Source organism: Homo sapiens, chromosome X, assembly GCF_000001405.40.
Source record: "Homo sapiens chromosome X, GRCh38.p14 Primary Assembly".
Lineage (NCBI taxonomy): Eukaryota > Metazoa > Chordata > Mammalia > Primates > Hominidae > Homo > Homo sapiens.
In genome coordinates this window covers 17,136,112-17,160,187 of record NC_000023.11, presented here as the reverse complement: position 1 = coordinate 17,160,187, position 24,076 = coordinate 17,136,112, and the positions used below count along the sequence as shown (strand labels likewise).

General features: G+C 39.4%; 1 protein-coding gene and 1 long non-coding RNA gene across 17 annotated transcripts in view; one reads left to right on the top strand and one right to left on the bottom strand.

Moving 5' to 3' along the window:
- The window catches only part of REPS2 (RALBP1 associated Eps domain containing 2), a 249,998-nt gene that overhangs the window by 36,468 nt on the left and 189,454 nt on the right, over window positions 1–24,076 (bottom strand). For 8 of the 16 annotated variants that reach the window (XM_017029956.3, XM_011545603.3, XM_011545606.3 and 5 more), the window contains one exon: window positions 21,227–21,332. In XM_017029956.3, the coding sequence (XP_016885445.1) occupies window positions 21,227–21,332 (106 nt within the window). Of the gene's footprint in view, window positions 1–6,915; window positions 12,776–18,686; window positions 18,744–21,226; window positions 21,333–24,076 lie in introns of those variants that run through there. The other 8 variants (NM_004726.3, XM_005274625.4, XM_047442626.1 and 5 more) reach the window with 2 other exon arrangements.
- LOC124905252 (uncharacterized) lies at window positions 36–16,316 on the top strand. Its single transcript, XR_007068400.1, has 3 exons — window positions 36–104; window positions 4,855–5,039; window positions 16,047–16,316. It is a non-coding gene; the product is annotated as an uncharacterized LOC124905252 (long non-coding RNA).

The following is a 24,076-nucleotide window of genomic DNA, read 5'->3' as shown; positions in this document are numbered from 1 at the left end:
CCAATGTGTACCTTCAACATTTTGCTTGGAAATCTCCTCAGTGAAATTTATAAGTTCATCATTCACAAGTTCTGCTTTCCACATTATTGTGGGACACAATTCTGGTAAGCTCTCTGCCACCATAACAAGGATCCTGGGTAAGTCACTTCACTTCTCAAGGTTAAAGGTTTCCTCATCTGCATAATAATTCTAGTTTCAGTTTTTAGGAAAGAGAATTCCACAGAATGATCTTAATCATCTTCTGAGTGGCTTTGGATTTTAGACATCACTGGATTTCACAAAAAGAAGGATGTCATCAAATCATCCAGTGGTCACATTTTGGCTAGTTCAAGGAAAGGAGGAGGGTCAATTTGGCCAACTTGTTTGCCCATCTTTAAATCAAGAGTGGGCTGGTGGTGGGACAGGGGTCACATCTTCTATTTCCCAATGTTCAGCACAATGCCACGGCCTCACAGGTAACCAGGCAACAGTCAATTTTTAATTTAACAAACACATGTCTAGCACTTACTAGGCACTGTTTTAAGTGATGTGCATTGGGGGGCTGGGGGGCACTATTATCAGTAACGTATAGATGATGGAGTGAGGCACAGAGAAGCAAATAACTTGCCCAAGATTACAAAGTTATTAAGGAATAGAGACAGGATTTGAATCCAGGCAGTCTAACTCCAAACCCCATGCTTTTATCAACTATGTTATGCTTCCAGGGTGCCATCCTTCAGGCCACCTACTCTTATTCATCCTAACAGTGGGGTTACAAGAGGTAACAAGAGGAAATTTTCTCCAACCTCACCCCATTGCCTCCAACTTAAGTAAGAGTGGTGCTTGGAAGAAGGAAAGAGACTAGAACCAGAGTTTGGGAAGGAGGTAGAAAGTAAGGAAGTTGGATATTAATGAGCTTGAAACATAAAAAGTTCAAACTGAGTCTGTTTCTGCATGACTTCTGCCTCATTGAAGCTTGAAGCTGACTTCCCAGGTCTCTAAAGTATCATCTGGGGAGGCTGAGAAATTCTAGAGTCAGAGAGCAAACAAAGTGAAAAGGGGATCAGTTGTGGTCTTCACAGAGCCAAGACAAGCTGAACACACAGTGGGAGCCAATGAAAAAAATTTGATGGAATCATATTTTGAAATATTCTTTAATTATTGCATCTATCAGAGAGGAAGAAAGTTTTATTTAAGACCTAAACTCACTATAACCAGCCGTTCTGCCATCTAAGGGAAAATTCTTATTATTTGGAAACAGAGGTCTACATTGTTGTTTCCCCTCACTGAGGCTGGTCAGGTAAAGAATGAGAAAATGTGGAAATGTTAAAGCCTCTTTCATTCTTCTGTGCTGCTGAAGGTGAGGTCGCAAACAGGCAATGCGTGGGCCCAACCTGGCTTGCAGACCTGTTTTGTTTGGCCTGTGTATTGTCAGCCTGCACAGTGGTTTCTTTCCCCTCAGTGTTTTAAATTAGACATAGTTGCCAACATAGAAAAAACAGGCAAGTATCCTTGACAGATGTATTGCAAATAAGTTCTACTGTTCTTCAGCTTGCCAAAACTCTCTTAGTCCTGAATTCTGATAAAAAGTTCTTAACTTTAATGAAATTCAATGTATCAATTTTTTTTCTAAAGTTAGTCCTTTGTATGCCCTGTTTAAAAAACTTGAGACACATGAAGATATTATCCTATGCATTCTTCTAGAAGCTTTATTGTTTTACCTTTCACATTCAGATCTATGATACATATTGAATTAATTTTTCTGCATGGTAGGTTTTCTGGGTTCATTTTTTTCCATGTGGATATCCAATTGCTCCACCATCATTTATTGAAAAGACCATCTTTTCCACCACTGAATTATGATGGCTTTTTTTAAAAAATATACAAGTCAAGGGATCATATATGTGCGGCTATGTATTTGGGCTCTCTATTCTGTACCATTAACCTATCATTTGCAACAATATTACACTGTCTTAATTACTTGTAGCTATGTAAGTCTTGGAACCTGGTAGTCTAAATCCAAGTTCGTTCTTCCAGATTATCTTGATGATTCATTGTGCTGCACACTTAAATTTGGTGCACGTGTGTATGTAACAACTCAACTAAAAAATAACACAAAAGGGGATTACTGTGGGATGAGGGAGGCGAGATATTGAGTCTCTCTCAAGGAATCTGACATTTATCAACACAGGTGCCTGCATGGCAATAAGTTAGGGCTGCCTTTATACACAGGGTATGCAGTCTCCAATTTGCCACAGTCCCCACCATTACCCCATTGTTCCCTACTACTGAAGCAGATGGGCCAGTGCCCACTTCTCATCTTACTCCTGACTCACTTCACTCAATTTATATTGCCACCTGAACCCTGGTGATATCTGAATTAATGGACTAATTTAGCAGAACCTGTTGATATAGTTTTGACCATGTGAAGGATTATTCCTGATAATGGTAAGAAGGCTAAATTGCTATGGGTAATTGAGAGAAAGGGAGAGAAGGCTGAGGGCTCTTCTGTAACAGTTTCTCAATCTTAGCACTATTGACATTTTGGGCCAGATCATTCTTTGTTGTGGGGGATTGTCCTGTGCACTGTAGGATATTTGGCAACATCCTTGGCCTCCACCCACTAGATGCCAGTAGCATCCCCCAGTTGTGACAAGCAAAACTATCTCTAGGCATTGCCAAGTTGCAGACATTGCCAGACACTGCAGAGGCAGAATTGCACTCAGTTGAGAACAACTGGCCTAAACCCATAATGGAAACAGTAAGGGTAGAAGAGATCTGATATGGGGGTAGAATAACTGGGTTAGAAATGGTTACAGGACCCCTAAAGTTCCCACCTCCTCACCTTCCTTCAGCCAGCAGAAGCAGAACAATAGATCTATAAAAAGCAAAAGGAAGAACACTTTGAGAGAGAGTAGACTATGCAGCATGGAGCCATAAAGAGGACAACTTGCATCACAAACTCCAAGGGGTGTTCTTATCATATAAAATACAAGGTGATGTCCTTGCCATGGTCAGAAATTTTTTAAAAAATAAATTTAAAAACACAACATGAACAATGTCCCCTGGAGCTGTGCAATGTGGTGGTTCTGGATATAAACTATTTAAAAGCTCTCATCTCTCTAAATAGTCTACGAATTCTGCCCCATTTCCATTCCACCCCATCCTCCATACACATACACACAAATGCCTCATGTAAATGATATTTTGGGGGAAAATAGATGGTCAATCTATCAAACTAATTCCTAGGAAGCATATCAGAGCCACAAGTGACTAGGATAAAAACATCAGTCCCTCCACCATTACCTCTGCCTCTCAGAACTTCCAGAAAGATTGGGATGCAGGCTCCCAGCACACATGGGTTGAAGTTCAAGCCAATTTCATTTGAATTTCAAAGGACCTGCAACACAATTCTCTGTATCTGTATTTAATTTACTTTGGTTTCCTTGATTCCATTCCCTATGCATTATCTTTCTTCCCCCTGGCTTTCCTTCAGCCTTGTAGTTTTTATTAACTCTAACACAGGGATGAAGGCACTCACTCTGTTCTGTAGTGCTATGCCCAGGATAGAAATGGTCCACCCCAGGTACAAGAATAAGGGGTGTATTCTCTGTAGAAAATGTTAAAACAATAAAATTGACTATAAGTTAGTTGGCTTTTATCATCACCATGAACCCGTTAAGTCTAAACAATGTCAATGATAAAATACTCATCCTCCTAAAAAATATTTTGTTGGTCTACATTCTAAACAATTACTGTGGCTATTGTTGAGTTTTAAAATACATATATATATATATATGTATTACATATGTGTATATATATACACATATATAATGTCTTCTGCTGATGATGCTAGAGGATTTTCACAGGTGAATCTTGAAATTTTTACAGTTTCTGTGTCAATTCCTTCTTTCTGCCAAATCTGCTAAGAGGATTTCAGGGCAAATAAAGGAAAATATATCTGGGTTATAATTTAATATCCAAAGATAAAGATCCTTTTCCCTCTATGTTTGAAAGAAAAATGCAATGAGGTAAACACCACTCAGAGTCTGGAAATACTTTTGTTCACACTTCCAGAACACTTCACATTTGAAAAACGATACGGCAGGGTTCTTTGAAGTTACAGTTTGCCATGGAGATGCTCTACTTGAAGCATTTTCTCCTGCAGGCTTGGTAATTTTTCAAAAGTGTTTAATAAACTCATAGAGCACTCTTGTTCAAAAGGAATTGTATATTTCAGCTTCATTTCCACACTCTTTATTTCTGCCCTTTGATAGACTTCTTGATAAAAAGGGAGTCCTGCACCTCTCAGTCATCTCAGGGCCCATGACATCTCCCCTTTCAAAAAGAGCTGAAGATGGAAAAAGTCTCACATCATTCACTAGGACTCCTGCTTACCAGGGTTTAGTCACTTGTGTTCTGGGCTTTGGTCCTTTGCCCAAACACATGCCAGAAGATATATAACAAATTAAACTAGCAGGTTTGGTCCACGTTAAAACATTAGTTTACAATCTTCCAGTAAAACATTTCCTTTCTAGGGAGTAGGAAAAATTTGGGAGAACACAAATCATTCCTTGACTACTCATGAAGTAAGCAACTTCATGCACTTCTTAAATCTTGAAAAGAGCTGTAATCTCAGGGTGGTTTATGCCTTCTCATGCAAGGCCTTCCCATTTGGCCTTGTGCCCTACCTTTGCGTCCTTCTCTGCTCCATATTCCACATCCATCTGCTATAATTTGAATGTTTGTCCCCAGCAAAACTCACATTGAAACTTAATCCCCAAAGTGGCAGTGTTGAGGGGTGGGGCCTTTGAGAGTTAATTAGGTCATGATGGCTGCCCTCATGAATGAATTAATCCATTCATGAATTAACAGGTTATCATGGGATTGGGACTCGTGGCTTTATAAGCAGCAGCAGCAGAGAGACCTGAGCTAGCATACTCAGCTCCCTCACCATGTGATATCGCCTGCCACCTTGAGATTCTACAGAGAGTCCCACCAGCAAGAATGCCCTCACCAGATGTGGCCCCTCGACCTTGGACTTCTCAGCCTCTATAACTGTAAGAAACAAATTTCGTTTCTTTATAAATTATCCAGTTTTGGGTATTCTGTTATAAGCAACAGAAAACAAATTAAGACACCATCTATTACATCCACATGAGAATTTCTTTGCAGTTCCAGAATATATCATGTTCTTATCATATCCCACCTTAGCACATGCAGCTCTCTCTGCCTGGAATATCCTCTTCTTCCTAGTAAATGCCTATCCCTCTTTTAAGACTATTCCATGAAGCCTTCCTGAATCCTCATAATCTGAGTTAAATACCCCTCCTGTGTGTTCTCAGAGCAACCTGGCCTTGCGTCTTCTGGTACATACTGTGTTCACCAAAACTTTTTCCTCTGGAGCTCACAGCTAGACTACATTTCCTGGTCTCCCTTGTGGTTAACTTTTGTCAGATAATTGAATTCCAGCAAATGAAGAAAAGTGATGTGTGTTACTTCAGTGAAAGGTAATTGTATCTTCTCCACCATCTCTCTTTTATCAAACCATTGGCTAAAGGGAGGAAACTCCCCAGCCCTAGGGTACAACGGTGCCACACATGTAAGGAGTCTGGGTTCCTGAACAACCACAAGGAAAACAGGACAACTGTAAGCATCCACCCTGGATGGTGAGGTGAATGAGATTCATTGAATTCCCAGGGTTCTTTGTTACAGCAGTTGTCCTACCCTTATACAACATAGCACCTATCCCACTCTGCACTGCAATGCATTTGTAGGTCTCTGTCTCACTGGACTGTGGGCTCCTTGGGGGAAGGAGTTGTGTCTTGTTAGTCTCATCTCCAGCTCCTAACACAGTGCAGTTAAACAGGAGGAACACATTAAATAAATATCGATGGAAGGAGGGTCATGGGAAGGAACAAATTCATGGATAGAAAATGTAGCACAGCAAAAACTATGCCCTGGAAACACAATTAGCCTTTGCTCTGAATCAGCTGAGACTCTGGATGAGTCAGTTTTGCCTTTCTGCACCACAGTTTCTTTGACTGTAAAATGAGATTGGCTAGTCAGTAGTTCCAGCTTTAGCGTACATCAGCATCACCCAGAGGGCTTATGAACACAGGGATTGCTGGGTCCCACTACCAGGGTTCCTGATTCAGTTGGTGCAGGGCAGGGGTGGCAAGAATTTGCATTTCTAATAAGTCCCTGATGATGCTGATATTGCTGATCTGGGGACCACACTTTGAGAACCGCTTGCATAGATTATCTCAGATCCCTTTTATTTCTAAAGTAAATGACCCAGTCATCCACATCAATGCTTAGGAATGGTCAGGGCCTGGTGATCTCCAGTGTCCAAGCTTATGGGCCAAATGATAGATGATTCTTCCAGAGTTAGTTTGTCCTTTGGGACTACTAGATTGGAAATATCCTATCTGTAGCCCACCATTTGCATTCACAATATGGAATAAAACCCCTCACCCAATAGGAGAGGTGCCTCCCCAAATTATTCAAATTTTAAAGGTAAGAAACTATAACTAGGGTGCCAGATTACTTGGTCGAGATTTCAAGCCAACTCTTTCTGATCCTTCCCCATCACCCCAACTCCAGCTAAGGACATCATGATGGGAATATTTTTGAACAAAAGAACACTGACAAGATAAAGCAAATAACCTGGCCCCACATTGAGCCAAGTTTTCAATTTAGCAGATCTTTAAAATGCACTGTGAGTCAGCCATGATATCCCATGACTGCCAAGTGTTTACTGTGTGCAGGTATTTAAGAACCTGTCTCAGATCACCAGGAGGTAAAAGCAACCAAATCTCAGACTTTGACTTAATTGGAAAGACTCCCAACTCCTTTTCCCATCATTTTCATTAAATACATGAGAACAAATGCAAACCACAATATATCGACACCAAGACTCCATAAAACCCACACTTAGTTATCATACATTTATTTTTAACATAGCACCCCAGTTTCACATCATGTATATTTTCCAAAGTTGGAGATCTTTAACTATGTTCTTCACAGACTTTTCAACAAGTGTGAAAAAGAGGCAGTAAGGTTAGCTTGAGTCTACAAGTCACAATCCAAATATAGGACACCTATGTTTAAGGTCAATATACATAATGTTCCCAATGCTTAGCAAATGAATGAGACTCTGGCTGAGTAAAATATTAACACAACTTGTTAGCACATTATCATGAAAAGACAGAAGGCATCAAATATATACTTTGCTGTTACACTTTTTACTGTTCAATGTACTTGTAGTGAAAAAATATACATTTTTACTTTCAAGGTTAAAATAGACCATCAGCTCATTATCTCTCTTAGCCAATAGCTATGAAGACTAAAATGGCTCTTCTTGCTTCTGGCTCACTTGAACATCTTATTTGTGCTGAAGACAAAAAGGATAGCAGTGCTAAAGAAAAGGGTATACCCGGTTCCCAAGATAGGTGCGGTTGAGGTTCTCGCACAAGGTGACTTAAAACAAAAATAACACAACTCAGTTGATCCAATCTCCACACAATGGGGTTGCATAATCAACTGTTCCAGCCCCAGAGAAGAGCTCCCTGAAAGAGCTTTAGGATCTGGCCCTGTTGTTCAACAGAGGGCTTCAGGATGGAACTGGTATCTGAAGGTTTCTTTACTGTAGTTTCCAAATTCCAATTTAAGCACTTTTAAAGTCTGGTGTCTGCTGGTCTTCAGAGTCATAAACCCACTTCTCTAATATCCCACAGCCATGACATTAGCTTACAGCAAGACCAGAGTATTCACAAAACATGAAAAAATGAGCATTTCCCAATTGTTGACAGCAGAGCAAGGCTTCTGTAACTAGAACATGTCCTGTGTATTGAAACCCTGCAATGCCTCCTAGAAAAGGTTCCTTTATCATCATGTGTGTTGGCATGTGTAGAAAATAACTATACAAGCCTAAAAGCAACTGTGTACTTCAGATGTCTTGCTCATACTAACAGACTGACTGCTTTAGGGCATGCATGTAACACAGCCTCCAAAAGCCTTTTTTAGAAGAGGGCAACAGCTCTTCGAATCTGCTTGCGTTGCTTTTAAAGTCTGGCCCTCCATGTCTGCTGCTCTCGGGAAATTCACATAACCAGATGCATTTCTCCTTACAAACAAGCGAAGCAGGGTGGCTCACAGAGTAATACCCACATTCAAATTGCCATCAATGACTGACCTATCAGTGTTGGTAGGATCTCCCCTAGCTTGTGCTGAAGGAGGAACAAGACATGTGAGCTGAGGACTCCAAAAACACAAATCCCCACTTCTTACTAGGAAATTGAACCATACTGAGTCATGATACAAAAAAAAAAAAAGTAACAAAACACCCATAACTAAAGTATAAATTCAACTGATCCTTTGAAATCAGAGTTTTAAAAGAATACCCTTGAAACAGTAAAGCAGTTAGAAAGAAAAACCAGAATTACTAGTGTTCTCTTTAAACACAGTGGGAAAACACCTCTTAACTACTATTTCATTTTGTTCACATTCAGAATGTTCAAACCAGAACCTAATGATCCCTACTTGTCAATAATATGGGAAGCTCTGGTTGCCATGATACGTTATATTGTTTTCTTTTTATTTTTAAAACCACATTCCCTTGGTGATATCTAGTGAGAAGGTGTGATTCTAGTTTGTGTTGAACAAATGTTTTTAGCTCTAAGGTGTTACACTGTAATTGAGATGTTTCCAACTACTGCTTAAAAGAAGACATTGGCAAATGCCTGCCTTAATTGCAAAAAACACATGAATTCCAATATTACCTTATTGATCTTCTGAGTACACATCTATTATTACCATGGCTGTGAGATCATTTAAGAAACAGACAAATGTCATTTAGAAACAGACTATAGAATCAAATCACAACTAAAGAGAATGCTTTATGATAGCTCAGACAGTGGTAGGAAATCAAAGGCAAATTCACATTTTTGATTACTCACCCTAAAATATGCTGAAATTGAACATTTGTGACCCAAGTAACTAAAAATACATTGAAGAAAACTATAACTTAACTACATATTGAGTTCATTTCAATCGCAGTAGTCTATTTTAAAAACAACCTCCCATAAGGAATACAGGAATGGAATCCATTGAAAGCAACAGCTGTCAAAAACTCTGCCAAGAAACTCAGAGTAACTTATTGCATCATAAAAGGTGAGGTGTTCAGGAAAACAAATAGCTCAATCATATTCTTTTCTTTCAGATTCTGTCACTTCAATCTAAGAGAAATTTCTAGAACTAAACTCCCTAAAACATGTTTTCAAATTTAAAGACTAATTAAGTCAATGAAATTCAACATGATAAACAGAAAAAAAAACCCTCCTAATCTATTTTTAGTATTGATAGAGGGTAGAGAATCTAACTCAAAATCCATAAAATCAGGTTGGCGCCCCAAATCTGCCACTAGTTACCTCTTTCTATGGATTTTTTGGGCCAGGAACTGTTGTTTCTTAGGGCTTTGGTTTCCCCACATGCAAACTGCAAATGATGGGTACCAGTCCTGCCCAGCTCTGACATCCTATTCTCCAGTGACAGTAAGATGGGCACAGCTTCCAGCTAAGCTGCCTCCTCTCCCAATCATGCCCAAGCACTTGTTTAATATTTGTAAAGCAGTTAGATCCTTCCAATTAAGGCAAATATCTGCCTCAATTACAACATATACATTCATTCCAGATATCTACCTTTTAGTTTTGCTTTGATGTCTGCTGGATAGGAAAGTGGCAAAAGCAATATGCCACATACGAGAGATGCCGAGGGACCAAATAAGCCAGCTGTCAGCTACTACTGTGCTTTCATCTGTGGGACTGTAGGATCCCAATGGGGGAAGACCACTTAACAGCAAGGTAATTCAACCCCTATGGATGGGGACAACATTGACCTTCTGTCTATAGAATTCTCCCCAACAGGCAGGTCTAACTTTGGAGTCGTTTTATGGAAGAGGTATAATGGTGATTTCAGTAATTCGGCCATCTTATAAATCACATTAAAGGCTCACAGAAATATTATTAGGCGTTACAATCCTAAATTAAAGTGCACATCCTAAGAAAACACAGAAAGAGAGGATGAGCACTACTTAGGTAATAATAATAGTAGTGTGTCATTACTTGTGTGTTATGCACACACATTTAACTGTTTTTTAAAAATCCACTTCTAAGCAACTAATAAACTGTGGTTACAGTTGAGTCCACCCAAGAAGGTAGGCATAGATATTATTAGTGTGTGCTCGCCTATCTTAAAATATTGATGAGATTATGAAACTCAGGGGAATTTGATTGTCCAATGCAAGTTTTTTCCCTTAATGAAAACCAAGCCAACCAAACAAAACCCCAACCTCCCAATCTGGCTCACTCTGGCACTGACTTCATGGAGGGGAGGGGAAAAGCATGTCAATATTTTTAAAATGAATACTGCAGACTAACATTCCTTAGTTTATACGTCTGCCTAATGGAAATGAACTGCTATCCCAACTGAGAGCATATGTACTGGAAGATTATGAGATAAAGTGCACATGCTAGTCTTTCCTGGATTGAATTTACCAAAAGCCAAACATGCTGTGAAACGTCTGCAATCAGAACAGTGCTGATAGCCGGGCGGGTGGCTCACGCCTGTAATCCCAGCACTTCGAGAGGCCAAGGCGGGTGGATCACTTGAGGTCAGGAATTCGAGACTAGCCTAGCCAACATGACAAAATCCCATCTCTACTAAAAATACAAAAATTAGCTGAGCGTGGTGGTGGGTGCCTGTAATCCCAGCTACTCGGGAGGCTGAGGCACAAGAATTGCTTGAACCCAGGAGGTGGAGGTTGCAGTGAGCCGAGATTGCGCCACTGCGCTCCAGCCTGGGCGACAGAGCAAGTCTCCATCTCAAAAAAACAAAAAACACTGCTGATAAAATTTGTTGTAGCCCGTAGATCTCAGAACATGGAAAAAGCAGTTGCCTAAAAATTTGTGCTGACCCATTCATAATCTTCGGAAGAGTTTAAACTTACTCCCAACCCTTCCCCCACAAAAACAAAAAAGGCAGCAAATGGGGAAGAAAAAAAGGGAATAGAAAAATAGTTCAAGTTTCATGATTTTCAAAATCAATTCAAAATCCTTAAATATGCACGGAATAGATTCAACAATTTGTTTTTCTGTGGAAAAAACATCATCTGTTTGAGCCTTTATCCTCTGCCATTAAGCTATTGATAAAGCTTGCCAATGGACTAAGGAAACATTAAATAAATGCCTGCTTGTTCTAAAAGCTCTCAGCTCTATTGAAATCAAAGGCTGAATCCCACATATTGCAAACCTATCCAAAACTGCTTCAAAAAGACCCTATACACCCCCACCCTGCTACCCTAAGAATGGGGAAATTAGTAAAATGCACAAGAGACAGCATTTCTTGCCATTGGTCTCTCAAAGTGGTGTTAACGCTGGCATGCCCTGTGAGGGTCAGTAGCCCTGTGCCCCTGTGGTCCCATTTTCAACTTGGGCTTTCAGGAGAAGCAGTAGCTACTTAAATTTCTGTAGGATACTGGCTTCTGCAATTTGAGCTTACTGTTTTACATTACCTACACTGGAGTTAATTGGGCTCCTCTGAATCTGATATAAACCAATCACTTCCCAAGAATACACTTTACAGAGAACAAAACAGTCACATATCCAGCATGAGGACCACTTTTCTTTCATTATCTCCTCATACCCCATACATTTGCAATCCAGGTTAAAATAAAGATTAAAATAACTACTAGAGATTGTTGGTAACAACCATTTCCCCTTCTTCCCCAGTTTGGATAGCTGGGTTCAAACAACAAATGTTTATCAATCCTAACAGTCTCATCAGCCTTTCATATTTGATGGGTGGTTTCCAAACTCATGCATTTACAGATATATTATCCCATGCAGGATAAAAGTAGAGATCTGGCAACTATTTATTTAATTTGGTCAGGCAAGGCAGTCAAAGCAGACTTCTCTTGCCCAAAAATTTACATGAAAGGACTGAGTTGTCTGGGTTGACAGCCTAGCTTGGCCAAGTTAAACAGCTCATTGCCAAAACCTCCACTTTACAGAGGTGTAAAGACCCAGTAAGTCTTTGACATTCAATAGAAAACGATAGTCATGTATTATTTATAGCTAGATATAATATCAAAATGGCACTAGAGAAGCAATTTTTGGCATATAGTGGTAGAGGGCACAGCGCCAGTCTAAATCTGATGCTTTTATTTTAGCTTTTGTTTTTATTATGGTCACACCAATGACTATCTAGTTGGAATCCCAATTACTCAGGAAACCAACCTACTCTATGTGATATACATACAAAAAGCATCCTGAAAGTACTTGGTTACAAGCATCCTGAAGGTTCTTGGTTATAAGGTTTTATAGAAAACATAAATTCTTTAAATAAATAATGCTCTAAGTTATTTTTATTTGCTAGAAGACTGATTTTTGGTAAGGAGCAGCATCTAATACCTTGCAGAAGTACTTAAGAATAGGAGACAAATTCCACTGATAATTAGCATTTCAAGTGTGATAATCAGTTGAAGTATTTTTTCCACCACAGTAAAACATACAAGTGAAGTGCAAGAGAAAAGGTCATATGGATTATATTTTGCTGCTCACAGCTTTTGACACAGTCAAACATCTATGACAAGTAGTTGGGTTCAAAACATTCAAAAGAAAGATCTTGGCAGACAAGGTCACCCACTGTCACTTGAACCATGGGGGGGTCACAACACAGTGACCGGACGAAGTTGTTCCAATTGGTTTTCCAATGCAATTCGTTCTTGATGAACCTCCTGAGTTGTACAAAACACAAGAAAAACAAAAAAGCAAAGGGGTCATTTCTTGAATTCATCCCTACTTCATCAGATTTAAAAGGAAACTTATAACTGGACCCACAAATACAAGTGCTGTATAACTCAAGAACAGGAGGACTGGGAGGTATCAGATTTAATGCTGGTGACCAGACAAAAGGGGCTTCACAATTTGTAATCTCTCAACTCCTTTCTGAACGTGATGAAATGAAACTGACCTACTCCCCTCTACCACCCTGCCCTAGTTTTAGCCTGTTTTGACAAGATCAGTAGCTGGTAGACAGAGTCATTAAAAATTAAAAGACTAGGAGAAAGCAGAAAGCAAAAACAGACTCCCAATACTGAGCAGTGAGCCAACAGGACTTAAATTTCTAGTTGCAATCTCTGGCTCGTAATCCCGCACCATACTCAGTTAGGTCTGAGGGCCAAAAAGGTACGCTAGTTGCCCCTCCACCAAAGTCTCATCCAAGTTTCTGCACAACATATGGTGTAAGGTACAACATCTGGGTGAAAGGCAGAAAAGAGGCTGAGCAATCTGCTCTTTGGGAATTCAAACTTTCGGGCCTAAAACGGATTTTTTTGGCAGGAAGAGAGGGGACACATAAAGGTATTCAAGTAGAATCAGTCAAGGTGGGAAAGAATCCTGTAGAAAGGCTGAATTGTGAGATTCAGAAGAATCAGCATACTAATAGTCAGTATACAACTTCACAAGTATTTATTCACATGCTCTCCTAGCCACCCAGCCGGAAGTCTCTTGGTTTCTATCTCCTACAGGTGAGGTAATGCTGTAGCTGTGATGGTATCAGCAAAGAATATGCCAGATCAGAGCAATAGGGCTTATATTCAAATGACTTGAGAAAGATAATAAAGTTAATGAACAAGATACTTCCAGAAGGAAATAAGATAACATAATAGAGAGTAACAGAGGGGGATATGGGAGAAAGGAGAGAGAGTGCCCTGGGAAGGCTTCTCAGAGTTAGCAATACTTGAGCAAAGACTTGAATGAAATGAGGAGTGAGCCATATGAAGATATGGGGGGAAGGATATTCACAGAGACAAAAGGGCAACTGCAAAGGCCCTGAGGAGCGAGTGAGTTTGGTGAATTTGATGAACAAAAAGCCTGTGTGACCAGAGTAGATGGAACAAGGAAGACATTGGCAGGAAATGAAGTCAGAGATTTAAGCAAGGAGCCAGATCGTACAGGGCCTTGTGGGCAGAGGAAATAGTATGGAAATGTAGCGGGGATGGCATTGAGGGTTTCTTTCTTTCTTTTTTTTTTTTTTTCTGAGACAGAGTCTCACTCTGTCGCCCAGGCTGGAGTGCAATGGCGCGATCTCGGCTCACTGCAAGCTCCGCCTCCCAGGTTCACGCCATTCTCCTGCCTCAGCCTCCCAAGTAGCTGGGACTACAGGCGCCCGCCACCACGCCCGGCTAATTTTCTGTATTTTTAGTAGAAACGGGGTTTCACCACGTTAGCCAGGATGGTCTCGATCTCCTGACCTCGTGATCTGCCCACCTCGGCCTCCCAAAGTGCTGGGATTACAGGCGTGGGCCACTGCACCCGGCCTGGCATTGAGTGTTTCTAATCAGGGAAGGAACATGACCCAACTTAAAATTCAAAATTTTCACTCTGGCTACTGTGTAGACAGTAGATTATAGCAGGATGAGAGTGGAAGCAGGGGAGCAACTGGGAGGTTACTGCAGGGACCCAGGTGAGAAATGAAAATGGCTTCCGTCAGGGTAGAAGCCATGAAGATGAAGAGAAGTGGATGAATTCTAGATAAATCTTGAATCTAGAACTGGTAGGACTTGCTGATAAAGTTGATGTAGGAGAGAAGAAAAATCTGAGGATGACTCCTGGGATTTTTGTATGAAGAAAGTAGCTGGCTGGTAGTGATATTGAGAATGAGAAGATTAGATAAGAAATGAGTATTTCAAGGAGAGGGTTGGCAATTAATTATCTGAGATGTGTATTGGATATCTAAGGAGAAAACATTGAGTAAGAAGTTATATATGCAAGTCTAGAGCACAGAGGAAAGGAGAAGTAGGGCTTGAGACATAAATTAGGTTTCATTAGTTTATGGATGGTCTTCAAAGCCATGAGACCATATAACATCATCTAGCAAAACAGTATAGATAGAGGTTTCAGGTAAAGATGGAAGACTGACCAGGGGTACCACACTCTCTCCCTCCTGGAGCACCACTAAAACAATACAGCAACTTTTCAAAGTCACGGACCCACAAGACAGGGAAAACAAAAGGGACAAGATGATAGCAATAAAATTTGAAAGCTGAGTGGCAAACTGGTGAATGGTAAATGACTTAGGAAATCCAGGAAAATAAATGTGGGAATTCTGCCAGCTGCTGAGTATGTCTATTCCAAGCATGCCATTCCAGAGCTAGGGAAATAACCATAGGGTGAGTTTGGGAGTCCACTGGGTCCACTGTGAGACGAACATAAGCTAAAACTCCATTGATCACCTGATCTCCCTAAGCCCCAACTCTGATGGGCCACAGTGACACTTTGCATCTCCTGGAATTAGTGTGAGTTCAGAGCCAGTGTCTGGTAATTCCCCAAAAGTCTAATTATTTCCCTTCCTCTAATGCACAGTCACCCTGGTAAATGGCAGCAGGGTCCCCCTTAGGAAAGGCTAGGAGAAAGATTTGCAGTGTAAATTTTTGGCTGCACAGTGGGGTCCTTCCTTAAGGAGACATAGATGCCCCTTCATCATTCAAGAGGTTCTGGATCTATAAACTGGCTTAGCCTGGGAATTAATTGAGGGGCTATGACTATAGTTCTGTTTCAATGATTCTTCAGACTTCTGTTCACTAGACTTAGAACTTTTCCACTCATACAGATCAAGTAAAGAAAGCTGAGTCCCAGGCTAACATGAAGAAAAATAAGAACCAACTTGATTTTACGTAGGAGAATTCCTGAAAGACTCAAATTGGCAACACCAGATACCTATTAAAGTGGGAGTACATAAGGGGAGATGGGAGTTGGCTAAAATAAGTGTTGGCTGAAAATCTGTTTCAGAAGCAATTAGATCCCCAGATCATTCCTGCCACCAGGGCAGAATGCTGAAGGTTTATTTCTTGAAAAGGTACAACAGAGAGCATCTGGATTAGCAAGAAACAAGCACAGTTGAGGACAAGATACTGGGCCAGAAATAGGGAGAGTGAATGAATATCCTGGAATGCTGAGACCTACAGCCCTCTTGCTCCACTGAACCAACTCTATCCCTCCATGTAGGTGACCAAAACAGTCTCCACTCTGGACACTCCAACCAGACCAAGAGGAAAGAGCTAATCATACTCCCTTTGGGGGTTCCCCAACTATACAGCCGAGCCAAATTGCCAGACAGTGAAGCTCAGAGTTGACAAGCCTTACAACGTACAATGAACTTCTAATCAGTGTTTTCATCTTCCTTTTAAATATGAGCAAAGAAGGGCCATCAGATATCAAAGGAAAGCATCTAAGATAAAGCACATACAACACAACACAACAAACACAAACTATTCAGGAAGAAGAAAGAAAAATGACCATAAAAAAAGATCACAACGAGTTCTGCACATGTTTCCCAGAACTTAAAGTATAATTAAAAAAAAGATCACAACAATGAAACAAGAATAGGATACCGTCAAAAATAAACAGAGAACAAAAAATTATTGGTTATTAAACAACAGAAGATTTAGAATATATAATTAAGTTTCCAGAAATAGACAAAAATAAAGAAGAAAATGTAGGAAGAGAAAAGAAAGAAAACAGAAGAGAAAATATGAGAAAATTAGAGAACTAAGCTAAGAAGTCCAATGTCTGAATATCAGTAAGGGAGAATGAGAAAAAAATGGGGGTGAGGGCAGGGGGGAGGAAATAATCAACGACAACAAAAATGAAAATAAAAAACCCTTCAGAACTGGGGAATATCAGTTTCCAAAAGGGCCCACCAAATGTAGAGAACAATGGATGAAACTGGCCTACCCCAAAGCAGAGGGAGAGAGGAGAAAACCAAAACCAAACAAAATGCAAAACAAAACAAGTTCACATACAAAGTTTTAGAAAACAGAATGAACTTTGAAATTTAAAAAATAACTTTTTAAAATTATCATAGGGTAAAACAATTTTTTTCTTTTAGTGTACAGATTTGTGTAACCACCACCACAAAGAAGACACATTACAGTTCAACCAACCCCAAAAGTTCCCTGGGACTACTCATACAAACTCTCATCTCATGCATAACCCCTGATAGCCACTGATTTGTTTCACATCACTATAGTTTTACCTTTTCAAGAATGTCAAATAAAAGGAATCATACAGTACACAACCTTTTGATACTGGCTTGTCTCACTCTGCATAATGTCTGAGTTTCATCCAAGTTGTGTATCATTTCTTTTCTCTGTTGAGTACTATTCCATTGTATGAATGTATCCCAATTTATTCATTCATCTTTTGAAGGACATTTGTGTTGTTTCCAGGTTTGGGCTATCATGAATAAAACTGCTATGTAAGTTCATATATAGATTTTTGAGCGAACATAAATTTTCATTTCACTAAGGTAGAGAGACAGCTGGGTCACATGGTTAGTGTATGTATAACTTCATAGGAAACTGCTGAACGATTTTTCAGAGTGGTGGTACCATTCTGCATTCCCACCACCAATAAATGAGAGTTCTAATTGCCAGCACTTGGTGATGTCACATTTTTTGTTTTAGCAATTCTAGTATGTGTATAGTGGTATGTAATTGTGGTTTAAATTTGCATTTCCCAAATGGCTAATGATGTTGAATATCTTCTCATGTACTTATTTGCCATCTTTATATATTCTTTAGTGAAGTGTCTGTTCAAATCCTTTGCCCATTTTTAAATTGAGATGCTTTGGTTTTGAGAGTTCTTATTATTGAGTTTTAAGAGTTCTTTATATAATTGAGATATAAGTCTTTTATCAAATACGTGTTTTGCAAATACTTTCTCCCACTCAGCAGCTTGTCTCTTAATTTTCTTAACTGTGCTTGGCAAAATAAAAGGTTTTAATTTTGATGAAGTCCAATTTTTTTAGTTTTTCTCTGTTATAGATTGTGCTTTTGGTGTTATTTCTAACTCCAGATCATGAAGATTTTTCTGTTTTCTTCTAAAAATTTTATAGCTCTATGTTTTACATTTACATCTATGACTCATTTCAAGTTAATCTCTGTATAGATGTGAGGCTTAGATCAAGGTTATTTTTTTAAATGCAAATGACAAATTGTTATAAAACAATTTGTTGAAAACTATTATTTCTCATTGAATCGATTTTGCACCTTTGTCAAAGATCAAATGGCTGTTTTCATGTGGTCTATTTCAGGACTCTGTATCCTATTCCACTGACCTGTGCATCAGCATCTTGATTACTGGAGCTTGACAGTAAAGTGATTCCTCCAACTTTGTTCTTCCTTTTCAAATTTGTTTAAGCAATTCCAGCTCCTTGGCCTTTACATATAAGTTTTGGGATTAGCTTGTCTATACTCACAAAAAATCCTGCTGGGATTTTTATTGGTTTTGTAATAAATCTATAGACTACTTTGGAGAAAAATAACATTTGAAAAGATATTTCATAAAGTAAGATATGAAAGGTAAATAATCACAAAGAAAAGTGGACAACATAATTAGTCAGCAAGGAGATGATAAAAACTATATCACTACAGGGCTAGCTAAAATTAATAAGAATCATAACACCAAATGTTGGCAAAGACGCGGAACAATTGGAACTCTCATACATTAGTGGTAGGAGTACAGATTGCTACAACCACCTTGGAAAATGATCTAGCAGTTTCTCAGAAACTAATCACATACACTTACCATGATACCTACGAATCCCAATCCAAGAGAAATGAGAACATATTTCCATACAGAGACTTATTAAAAAATGCAGTTTTATTCCAAATTGCCAAAAACTGGAAACCGCTCAGGTGTCTGTCAATAGAATTGATAACCAAACTGTAACATATTCACCCAATGGGATACTACTCATCAATAAAAATGAATGAATTACTGATACACACAACAATATAAATGAATCTCAAAAACATAATACTTAGTGAAAGAAGCTTTACAAGAAGTATAAGTTGTAAGACACCGCTTATATAAAGTTATAGAACAGGCAAAACTATGGTATAAAAATTAGAATAGTGATTGCCTCTGTGTGGGTAGGGCAGGAATTGACTAGGAAAAAGCATGAGGGAGCTTCCTGGGGTGATGGTAATATTCTCTATCTTTTTGGGGGTTTGGATTCCGTAAGTACATGTACTTGTTACAAACTCAGCAAATGTACACTTAAGGTTTGTGCGTGCGCTGGCGCGGTGGCTCACGCCTGTAATCCCAGCACTCTGGGAGACCTAGGCGGGCAGATCACAAGGTCAGGAAATCGAGACCAACCTGGCTAACACAGTGAAACCCCACCTCTACTAAAAATACAAAAAGTTGGCCGGGCGTGGTGGCAGGCGCCTGTAGTCCCAGCTACTCAGGAGGCTAAGCCAGAAGAATGGTGTGAACCCAGGAGGCGGAGCTTGCAGTGAGCAGAGATCACGCCACCGCACTCCAGCGTGGGCGACAGAGCGAGACTCCATCTCAAATAATAATAATAATAATAATAATAATAATAATAATAATAATAATAATAATATTTGTGCATGCATTTTGTATAAACATTTTACATCATAAGAAAAAACTGTAAAAATATATTGAACTCTAGCTAATTATACGCATGCTAAAATATTCAGGGAAAGTATACAGATATCTGCAATTTATTTGAAAATATGTCAAAAATAAGATGAACTGATGGACACAAGGATAAATGGGTAGATATGTGATTAAAAATAAGTATAGTAAAATGTTATTGTAGAACTGAAGTGATGTCTATACAAGCAGTCACTTATGATTCTTTCAACTTTCCTGTATGTTTGAAAATTTTCATACTAAAATATTGGGGCAAATGGGGTTGGGGTATAAAAGTTAAGTCAGGGAAGGAAGAGACAGCAGAGAATGAAAATGGGAAGCACCAGTGAAGCAGAAGGAAAACCAGGAGAGTATGGTATGTCAAAAACCAGTTATAAAAGCCATTTCAGAGGAGGAAATGATCAATTGTGTAGAATTCTTCTGAAAAAAAAATAATAATATTAAAACAGCCCTATTGGATTTAGCCACAAGACGGGTGTGAGTGGAGGAGGACGAAGCCAACTGAAGTGGAAGGAAGAGAAAATTACTGGTTTGAAAGTAAAGATAATGAATAAAACCACTCCTAAGAAACTTTGCTGTGAAGGGGACCAAAGAAATGAGGCAGTAATTGGCCAAGTGTAATGGACAATACTGGAGCATATTTACATGTGGATGGCGAATGATCCAGTAGAGAACTGGGGGATATAGTGGGTAGAATCATGTCCTCTCAAAATATATGTTTAAGTCCTAACCCCCAGTATCTGTAAATGTGACCTTATATGCAAATAGGTTCTTTGCAGATGTAATCAAGTTAAGATGAGGTCATGCTAGATTAGGGTGGGTCCTAATCCAATGATTGGTGTCCTTATAAGAGGATACAATAAGAAGAGAAATTTGGACACAGACACAGAGAGATACAGGAAGAAGGCCATGTGACAACAGAGGCAGAGATTGGAGTGACGCAGCTACAAGCCAAGGAATGCCCAGGGCTGCCAGCAACATCAGAAGCTGGGAAGAGGTAAGGAAGGATCATCTTCTAGAGCCTTCAAAGAGATCATAGCTCTGCCAATATCTTGATTTCAGAGTTCTAGCCTCCAGAGCTGTGAGAGAATCATTTTTGGTTATCTTAAGCCACCACATTTGTAGTATTTTGTTATAGCAGCCCCGAGAAACTAACACAGGGGAGAGTAACGATGAAGAGAAACAGGGGTGATGTCATTGAGAAGGTGAAATGGAACCATTTGCAAGGCACCAGAGGAGGGGCTGGGCTTTGATAGTACCAAGGTGACTTCCTTCTACTGAAATAAGTATTTACATCCTCTTTCAGAGAGGATGTAAATAATTAAGGGCTTACCCAGAAGCTTTGGATAATAAAGAATGCTTCAAACAGCCTTCGTAATAGATTGTCTTTCCTTTTAACTCATACACAATATGAAGCCTACATATTAAAGTCACTAGTCTTCCTCTGACTATGCAAGAACCAACCCATGAAACTTAAATACAGTAATTCTCCACCTTCCAAAAAGGGTTTGAGAACGAAGAGGCAAGTCTTATCAACAGGGATGGAACTAAATGGTCAGCCAATGGACACATCAGATCACTGTACATGATAGGTATGGAGACATCACTATGTACCCCACCCTATAAATATGTACAATTATTATATGCCTATTAAATTAAAAAAAAGCTTTTTAAAAGCCAGGGAAAAGCCTGGTCATCCAAATCTGGGACTCATTCCTTACCTTGAGCTGCTGCTGGAGCTCACTGTTCAGCCGAGCCAGCACTGCGTTTGCCTCTTTATTTTTGCGGATAGCAGTTTGAATGGCCTTCTTCTGTTTGGAAGACTGCCTATAGAAAAGCACAAACACTTCAGTGAAAAAGGACTTAGAGGTCTGGACCCTTGAGGGTCAGAACTCTGATTCATGAGAGGTGTTAAACTAACAAGTGGTTAACAACACAGGGCTCCAAAAATAAAATCTCATATTCACAGGCGGTCAGGAAGATAGACACCAAATGAAACAAATTTATTGGGATGAATTATTTACACCTGAAGTAATTCCCATTTTATAACTTGAATAAAAGCTGTGAAATGGGCCTTTTCAAACATTTGTGTTCCATTTATTCCAAGACATTTTAATAAGTATTTCTTCCTGACAAACCATATTAACTGGAATGCCCTTTTTGTGTAAGAATTAATAGCACTTAGAAGACCTGCAGGTGTCCCCTGTGAACAAGTCTGAAGGAAAATAATACAAGAACATTATTTTTAGCAAAAATTCTACATTAACTTAGCCAGACTACCTACCTCTACCTTATGTATTATTAGGCATGAATGCCTAAGTATATGTGTGTGTGTGCATAAATGTGCACTCGTGTATGTGCATGGACCAGCATATATCTGTGGCTCTTGAGAAAAATACAGAACGTTTTAATACCAGTATTTCCCAATTAACAACAAATTCACAGAACACGCATAACCAGAGTGACCACGCATCCTACTGCGCCCATTACAGTCTCCATTTAAAACTGTCTGTCCAGCATAAGTACATTAGCACTCTCTTTACTTTTCAAAACCGTCCATGGTTGGGATGATAAATCAGTGCAGTTACCACAGGGATAATCTACAACCTTTCATCCCACAGCAAGAAACACCGAATTCTTAGAGCAAAAGAGCAACTGATGTTCTCCTAGAAAAACAGCCATATGTGCCATTACTGGGAGATAGGTTCTAGAAAAGAGCAACTGAACTAGAATGGACTGTGACCACTGTACAGATCTGATTAATATTGATAATTGGCTGGGTGCAGTGGCTCAGGCCTGTAATCCCAGCACTTTGAGAGGTTGAGGCAGGATGATCACTTGAGGCCAGGAGTTTGAGACCAGACTGGGCAACATAGTAAGACTCCATCACTATAAAAAATAAAATGAAATTGGCTGGGAATGGTGGCTCATGCCTGTAGTTCCAGCTACTCAGGAGGCTGAGGGGGAAAGGATCACTTGAGCCCAGGAATTCGAGGCTACAATGAGCCATGATCATGCTACTGCACCCCAGCCTGGGTGACAGAGTGAGACTTTGTCTCTAAAAAATAAAAATAAAAAATAGAAAGTGAAAAGACAGCCCACAGAATGAGAGAAAATATTTACAAAGAGGGCTCAATTTTCTCATATATCTAACAAGGGAGTTGTATCCAGAATATATAAAGAATTCATAACTCAAAAGTAAAAAGATTAATAATCCAATTAAAAGTGGGCAAAGGGTGTGAATACACATTTCTCCAAAGAAGATAAACAAATGGCCAATAGGCACATGAAAAGATGATCAATGTCGTTAGCCACAAAAGAAATGCAAATCAAAACCATGAGATCACACTTCACACTCACTAGGATGGCTATAATAAAAAAAAAAGATAAGTGTTGACAAAATGGAGAAATTGGAACCCTCATACGTTGCCAACGGGAACATAAAATGGTGCAGCCACTATGAAAAGTGTGGTAGTTCTTCGAAATATTAAAGACAGAGTTACCACATGACCTAGCAATTCCACTCCTAGGTACAGACCCAAGAGAAATGAAAATGTAAGTCCACACAAAAACATGTACACAAACAGTATAGTGGCATTACTCTTAAGAGCCAAAAAAGCAGAAATAACCAAAATGTCCATTGACTGATGAATGGATGAATAAAATGTGGTCTATCCATACAATGGAATATTATTCAGCCATAAAAAGATAAGTTCAGATTTATGCTACAACTTGGATAAACCTTGAAAATATTATGCTAAGTGAAAGAAGCCAGTCACAAAAGACCACGTTTCATTATTCCATTTATGTGAAATGACAAGAATATGCAAAGCCATGGAGACAGAAAGGAGATTCGTGGTTGCCAGGGGCTGAGGGGGAAGGAGAGAATGGGGAGTGATTGCTAATGGGCGTGGATATATATTATTTTAGGCATGACAAAAGTTAGATTGTGGTGATGGTTGCATGACTTTGTGAATAAACTAAGAACCACTGAATTGTACATTTAAAAACATGAACTGTATGCTATGTGAATTATATTGCAATAAAGCTGTTATAAAAAAGAGAAAAAGAAAAGATCTCTGTATGAACTCCACCAGATGCCCTGACATCTACTCTGGAGACTGTTAAGCCACTGCTGACTAAAATGAACATAAAGCTGAAATTAAAGTGGAGTGCTGGGGTAGAACATGGAAGAAAATTGAGCCATCTTTGTCCCTGATAGGGATTCTTCACCTTCCAGGCTTAACAGGGGCTGGAAGATGGTCAAAGTTCTCGGTGAATGTGATGAACAAAATATACTTCCTTTATGGACTGATACCACCAGGGACCTGTCCATTTGAAAAAAAGAAAATCTTCTGAAGGAGAGGGCTGCAGAGATTCAGAATGGGACTTTGGCTTCAAAGACAAGTTGCTAACATCTCCCACAGAACCTGCTGCTTTTCATTCTACAACGTGTAAGCAGAAGAAAATCTGCAGCAGCATCTGAGACCTGCAAGACCCCAAAAGCAGGGTCATGATGGGTCTTGAGCATTTATGTTAGTGACCGGTCAGGCTCACTTGCAGTCAAGTGA